Here is a 6,000-nt window from a genome sequence, read left to right as displayed (position 1 = left end):
TAACATTACAAATATAATTGCTCCTCAAATGTGCTTTCTTGCCAAAGTGAGGGTGAACAGAATTTTCATAATGTAGATCACACTTTAAATGTGTGGGAAAAGCTAATGATACAAAGAATCATGAAGTGTAGCCTTTTCTAAATTGAATACTTAATTGCACATGCAGGATTATGTGTCATCTTTGGTGCAATTATTCGCAGGTTTTCTTGACATAGGTTTCATTTTTGAATGAATCTAAGAATCTATAGATTGTAAGATGCACCATTAGTTTATGTTCCACCAAGAAATAAAATACTGTGACAAATGAACTCTGATATAATGCTTTGTTGCTTATTTTTATATGTGTTGAAAGACCTCCTAGACAAATTTGGACATAGATTTTTACTTTATATCAATCTAATGCAGCAGTTCTCATTAAAAAAACTCTCAGAATCACTTTATACTCTTAAAAGGATTCTGAGATATTGTTTAGGAGCCCCAAAAGCTTTGGTTTATGTGGATTTTATCCATTGATCTTTGCAGTATTGGAAATTAAAATTGAGAAATTTTCAAAACTTTTATGAATTGCTTTTAAAATAATAAATTCATTATACATTAAAATATTTTGTACAAATATGTTGTTAAAATATGAATGTGAAGAGTAGGGTTGCTTTACATTTTTTCATATTCCTTTAATGTTTGGCTGAATAAAATTTAGCTGGATTTTCATATATATTTCTGCATTCAATAATTCAATAATAGCCTTTTCAAGAATTGTGAATATTCAAAACTTGACAAATGGTAGTTCCTTAAACATTAGTTGCAATATTGTTAGCAGTGGCAAATCCATATGGTTCGGCAGCAACCTCAATTCTTGCCTCTTCAGAAGAAAGAATTTGACCAAGGGTCATAAGGCAGAGTGAAAGACCTAGGCAAGTTTTAGTTACACACGTCTGTGTGAAGAGACCACCAAACAGGCTCTGTGTGAGCAATGAGGCTGTTTATTCACTTGGGTGCAGGTGGGCTGAGTCCGAAAAAGGAGTCAGCAAAGGGAAATAGGGGTGGGGCAGTTTTATAGGATTTGGGTAGGTAGTGGAAAATTACAGTTAAAGGTGGTTATCTCTTACAGGCAGGGATGGGGGACACAAGGTGCAGGGTGGGGAGATCATGAGACTCATTGTCCAGGGGAGGAATGTCACAAGGTCGATTGATTAGTTAGGGTGGGGCAGGAACAAATCACAATGGTGGAATGTCATCAGTTAAGGCAGGAACTGGCTGTTTCACTTCTTTTGTGGTTCTTCAGTTGCTCCAGGCCATCTGGACGTATACATGCAGGTCACAGGGGTTATGATGGCTTACTTTGGGCTCACAGGCCTGACATTCCTGTCTTCTTATATTAATAAGATAAAACAAAATAGTGGTGAAGTGTTGGGGTGGCAAAAATTTTTGGGGTGGTATGGAGAGATAATAGGCAATGTTTCTCAGGGCTGCTTCAAGTGGGATTAGGGGTGGCATGGGAACCTAGAGTGGGAGAGATTAAACTAAAAAGAGATTTTGGGGTAAGGGGTGATATTGTGGGATTGTTAGAAGGAGCATTTGTTGTATAGAATGATTGGTGATGGCTTGGATGTGGTTTTGTATGAATTGAGAAACTAGAGGGAAGACACAAGGTCCGAATAAGAGAAGGAGAAAAACAATTATCAAACGACTAAGAATTGGGAGGACCCAGGACATTCAATTAGAGAGTGTCCAAGGGGGTTCAATGTAATTATTTGCTTGGTTGGTGAGTTTTTGGGCTCTATCCTTGAGTTTTTTTATGTTGTCATATACCAGGCCAGATTGATGTAGGTTAAAAACAACACTCTTCATTTAAAAATATACAGAGTCCTCTTTCAGCAGTGAGTAAGTCGAGGCCTCGGTGGTTTTGGGGGACAACTGCAGCTAAAGAGTCAACCTGGGCCTGAAGGACTGATAGAGTTTGTGATATGTCTGCAGTGCTAGCAGAGAAGTCATTAGAGAGGCTACGGAAGGTCGTGACAGAGGTTGAAATGCCTGCTATTCCAGTTGGGAGAGCAATAGTGGAGGCAGAAAGTCCTGAACCAACAAGCAAGGGAATTAGTGGAATAATCCTTTTTTGTTGTGTCGGTGTCATGAGGGGAACAGGAAGCTATTCAGTCCCATTTGCAAATTGAATTTTGGGGGAAAGGAAAACTAGTGTGCATGTGCCTGTCCAATTAGCAGGAGGCACATGTTAGTGGATGAGCCACAGAGGAAAAAGAGACGTTGTGTAAGGCAAAACTGGAAGTGCAAAGTGAAAAGGTGAGAGGGTGTACTAAAAGAAGTGTCTTGCACCCAGACTCCTAGGGATCCAGCTAAGGCAGCAGCTGTCAGAAGTTGTAATGGGGACTGATGGGGTAACTGCATAGAGGGGGAGGTTTGATTTTCATGGTGTATGAGGAAGCGTTGAGTGTCTATGAGCAATCTCTCACTGGTATTTGTGGGGCTGGGTATGAGCAAACAAGAAGGGCTGGGAGGAGAATCTGAAGAATAAGGGGAAGGTAGCCAAGGATGGAATGAAATGCAGGGCAAATGTCTTCCTAAGCAATGGTAACTGCTAATGTTTTTAAGTTTGTCAGTATTGATAGAGGGCTTATCTGTAATGCGGAGCTGAAAAGCCCCAATGGTTTTGGTAATGTGTGTAGCTGGGCTTTGGAGATGAAGAGTGAAGGAGCATAGAGAAGGTGAAAGGTTACCTAAGGGAATTCTGGTGGGTCTTCGCTGGGAGATGCACAAAGGAGCGGCAACAGGGATAGCAGTTTGTGTTGTGAGGGGTCCAAATATGGGAGGAGTAGAAATGACATAAGGAGAAAGGTTTTTAAGTAGATGCAGAGAAGAGCATCAGCTTGCTAATATGAAATGTCTGAGGAGGTTTTTCTAGACCTGTCTAGAAAGTAAAGAAGTTCTTCAGAAGAGTAAAGATGAGGGCTGTTAAAGGAGGTTCGGAGATGTAGGGAGACAGGAGATATTGCCTAGTTGGTATGTAAGGTGGGGAGAGCCATGTAAGTGCAGGAAGAAAGGGAAATGCAAAGCCAGCAATTGTTCACTAATGAGGGATTAGAAACAGCTAGGAGAGAGTGAGTGAGATTGATAGTGTCGTGGAGATAGCTGGGGAGAGGTAGAGAGAGACATAAGAATGAGAACGAGAATAAGAGTGAGTATAAAAGTAAAGACTAGGACTTCATCAGGGTGGAAGTTTTGGAGGGTGCCCTGCAAGCAAAGATCATCTACCCACTCCAAGAGGGAGTTAAGGGTGGCATTTTGGGGATAGTACCAGGAGATATCTGCTATGATAGTTTGGAGAAAAAGTGTAAACCAGCAGTGTAAACAGGGTCAGGGCATTTATGAGTAGTTGAGAATGGTGAATAGGAGTATGACTAGACAGAAGATAGCAGGGATGCCAAGTTTTTGGGGCACAGTCCAAGTAGTGGGGGTGACTGCGTAAAGCCCTGTTGCAAAAAGTAGGGTAAGGACGAATAGACCTAATAGAATGAAGGGATGTATTAGGGTCATAAGGGTTATTACTGTTCTTCAGAAATGCGAGTGAGTTTAAGGGAAGTAGGGGAGAGTACTTGTGACTTCCAGGAGGAAGAGGAGAGACCAGGCTGGCTGTCCAATGGACACAGCTTTATTCTGGAATGGTGAACCCAAGAGGGAGGGTCCTGTAGACAGACAGCTGTTGACGTGCTATAGATGACTAGGTAGGGTCCAGTCCATTGAGGCTGTAGAGTTTAAGGGAACAGACTCTTAAAAGAACCGATCATCCAGCTAGGGTGTCTTCATATAGCTGGGAATCTGGAGTAGGCAAGAGAAGATTAGCAGCCTGGTGAATTTCCTGTCTAGCCTCCTGGAGGACTGGAAGATAGTCACCCAGAGGGCTGGTGTCTGTAACAAGATTGGGGCCGAGCAAGAAAGTGTGTCCGTATAAAAGTTCAAATGGGCTAACACAGTGAAACCCCGTCTCTACTAAAAATACAAAAAATTAGCTGGGCATGGTGGTGGGCGCCTGTAGTCCCAGCTAGTTGGGAGGCTGAGGCAGGAGAATGGCATGAACCTGGGAGGCGGAGCTTGCAGTGAGCCGAGATCATGCCACTGCACTCCAGCCTGGGCGACAGAGCAAGACTCCGTCTCTTAAAAAAAAAACAAAAACAAAAAAACAGTTCAAATGGGCTGTACCCTGTAGCATCTAGAGGACAAGCTCTAATTCTAAGGGCAACTGGTAGAAGTACTGTCGAGTCCTTTTTAAGTTGGAGGCTGAGCTTGGTGACGTGTGTTTTTAAAAGACAATTAGTCCATTCTACCTTTCCTGAAGATTGAGGACGGTAAGGGGTATGAAGATTCCACTGAATACCAAGAGCCTGAGAAGCAGCTTGGGTGATATGACTAATAAAAGCCGGACCATTGTCAAATTGAATAGAAGTAGGAGGCCAAATTGGGGAATTAATATCTGTTAGAAGGGAAGAGATGACTGCAGTAGCCTTTTTGGAGCTACTGCAAAAAGTGGGAAAGGCCTTGACCCATCTGGTGAAGGTGTTGATCCAAACCAGGAGATATTTAAATTTATGGACATGGAGCATATGAGTAGAGTCAATCTGCCAATCTTGTGTTGGAGTAAATCCATGAGCCTGATGCGTAGGAAAAGGAGGAGGCCTGAGAAAGCCTTGGGGGCTGGTGGTATGATAGACATAGCATTGAGAGGTGATGGTCTTAAGGATGGATTTCCATGAAGTGAAGGAGATGAGGAGCTCCAGGAGGCGAGACAGAGGCTTGTATCCCACATGGAAGTGGTCATGAAGGGAAGAAAGAATGGACTGAGCTTGTGAGGCAGGAAGAATGAATTTTCCATGATCTAAGAACCACTAGCCCTGAGTTGGAAAAGGCTGGTAGAGCAGATTTTCAGAGTAGGTGGGAGTGATAGAGGAGAAAGAAAAATACTTGCCCTCTGGAGTGGGGGCTGGAATATTAGCAGGTGTGGAGGCATTGGCTATTCTTTTGCTGTCCTGTCAGCATAGGCATTTCCTTTTGCAATAAAATCTGTAGGTTTCTGGTGTCCTTTACAATGAATGACTCCAGCCTTGGCCGGCAGGAGAGCAGCCTTAAGGAGGGCTTTTATTAGAGAGGCATTGATAATGGAAGAGCCTTGTGTGGTAAGGAAGCCTCTTTCAGCCCAGATGGCAGCATGGTTATGGAGGATATGGAAAGCATATTTGGAGTATTTGGAGTCAGTATAAATGTTAATGTGCATTCCTTTAGCGAGAGAGAGCGTACGAGTTAAAGCAATCAGTTCGGCTTGTTGGAAAGTGGTGGAGGGAGGAAGTGCAGCAGCTTCGATAATAGAGGTGTGGGACATGACAGCATATCCAGCTTTAGCTGGTGAAAATTGATTGGGTTTAGAAGAACTGCCATCGATAAACCAAGTGTGGTCTGGGTTTGGAATTGGAAGAATAGCAATATGAGGAAAGGGGGAAGATGCCATGTATGTTAGGGAAATACAGTCATGTGGTTCAGGACTTGTGTTGGGTGCTATGTGAGAAGCTGGGTTGAAATTGGGCCGATGGGTAATAGTTACTGTTGGAGTTTCAACAAAGAGTGAATAGAGCTAATAGAGCTGGAGGAGTTGAGCGGCAGACAATAAATGTGAAAGGTGTGAAGAGGATATTAATGCTTGAAGGTTGTAAGAACTGTAAAGGTAATTGGAGCATAGCCTGTGATTTTGAAGGGCTCTGGAAGTATTAAAGTGGCGGCTGCTGCCACACACAGACATGAGGGCCAGCCCAGAACTGTGAGGTCAAGTTGTTTTGATAGAAAGGCAACAGGTTGTGGGCCTGGCTCCTGTGCGAGGACTCCAGCAGCACAGCCTTTTATTTCAGCCGTGTGTAAGGAAAAAGGATGGGACGAGTCGGGAGTTCTTGTGCGGGAGCTGTCTCCAGGGCCTTTTTGAGAGAGCGAAAGGTAGAATGGGGA

General features: G+C 43.3%; 1 long non-coding RNA gene across 3 annotated transcripts in view; it reads right to left on the bottom strand.

Moving 5' to 3' along the window:
• Positions 1-958: 958 nt before the first annotated feature.
• LINC02577 (long intergenic non-protein coding RNA 2577) overlaps positions 959-6,000 on the bottom strand; it is a 63,465-nt gene continuing 58,423 nt past the window's right edge. Inside the window, exon 5 of one of the 3 annotated variants that reach the window (NR_170304.1) lies at positions 959-1,366. This is a non-coding gene — a long non-coding RNA (long intergenic non-protein coding RNA 2577). Of the gene's footprint in view, positions 1,370-6,000 lie in introns of all 3 variants that reach the window. The other 2 variants (NR_170303.1, NR_170302.1) reach the window with 2 other exon arrangements.

The sequence above is a fragment of the Homo sapiens genome, chromosome 7 (genome assembly GCF_000001405.40).
Source record: "Homo sapiens chromosome 7, GRCh38.p14 Primary Assembly".
In the NCBI taxonomy this organism is placed as follows: Eukaryota; Metazoa; Chordata; class Mammalia; order Primates; family Hominidae; genus Homo; species Homo sapiens.
This window is presented reverse-complemented; position numbering and strand designations above follow the sequence as displayed.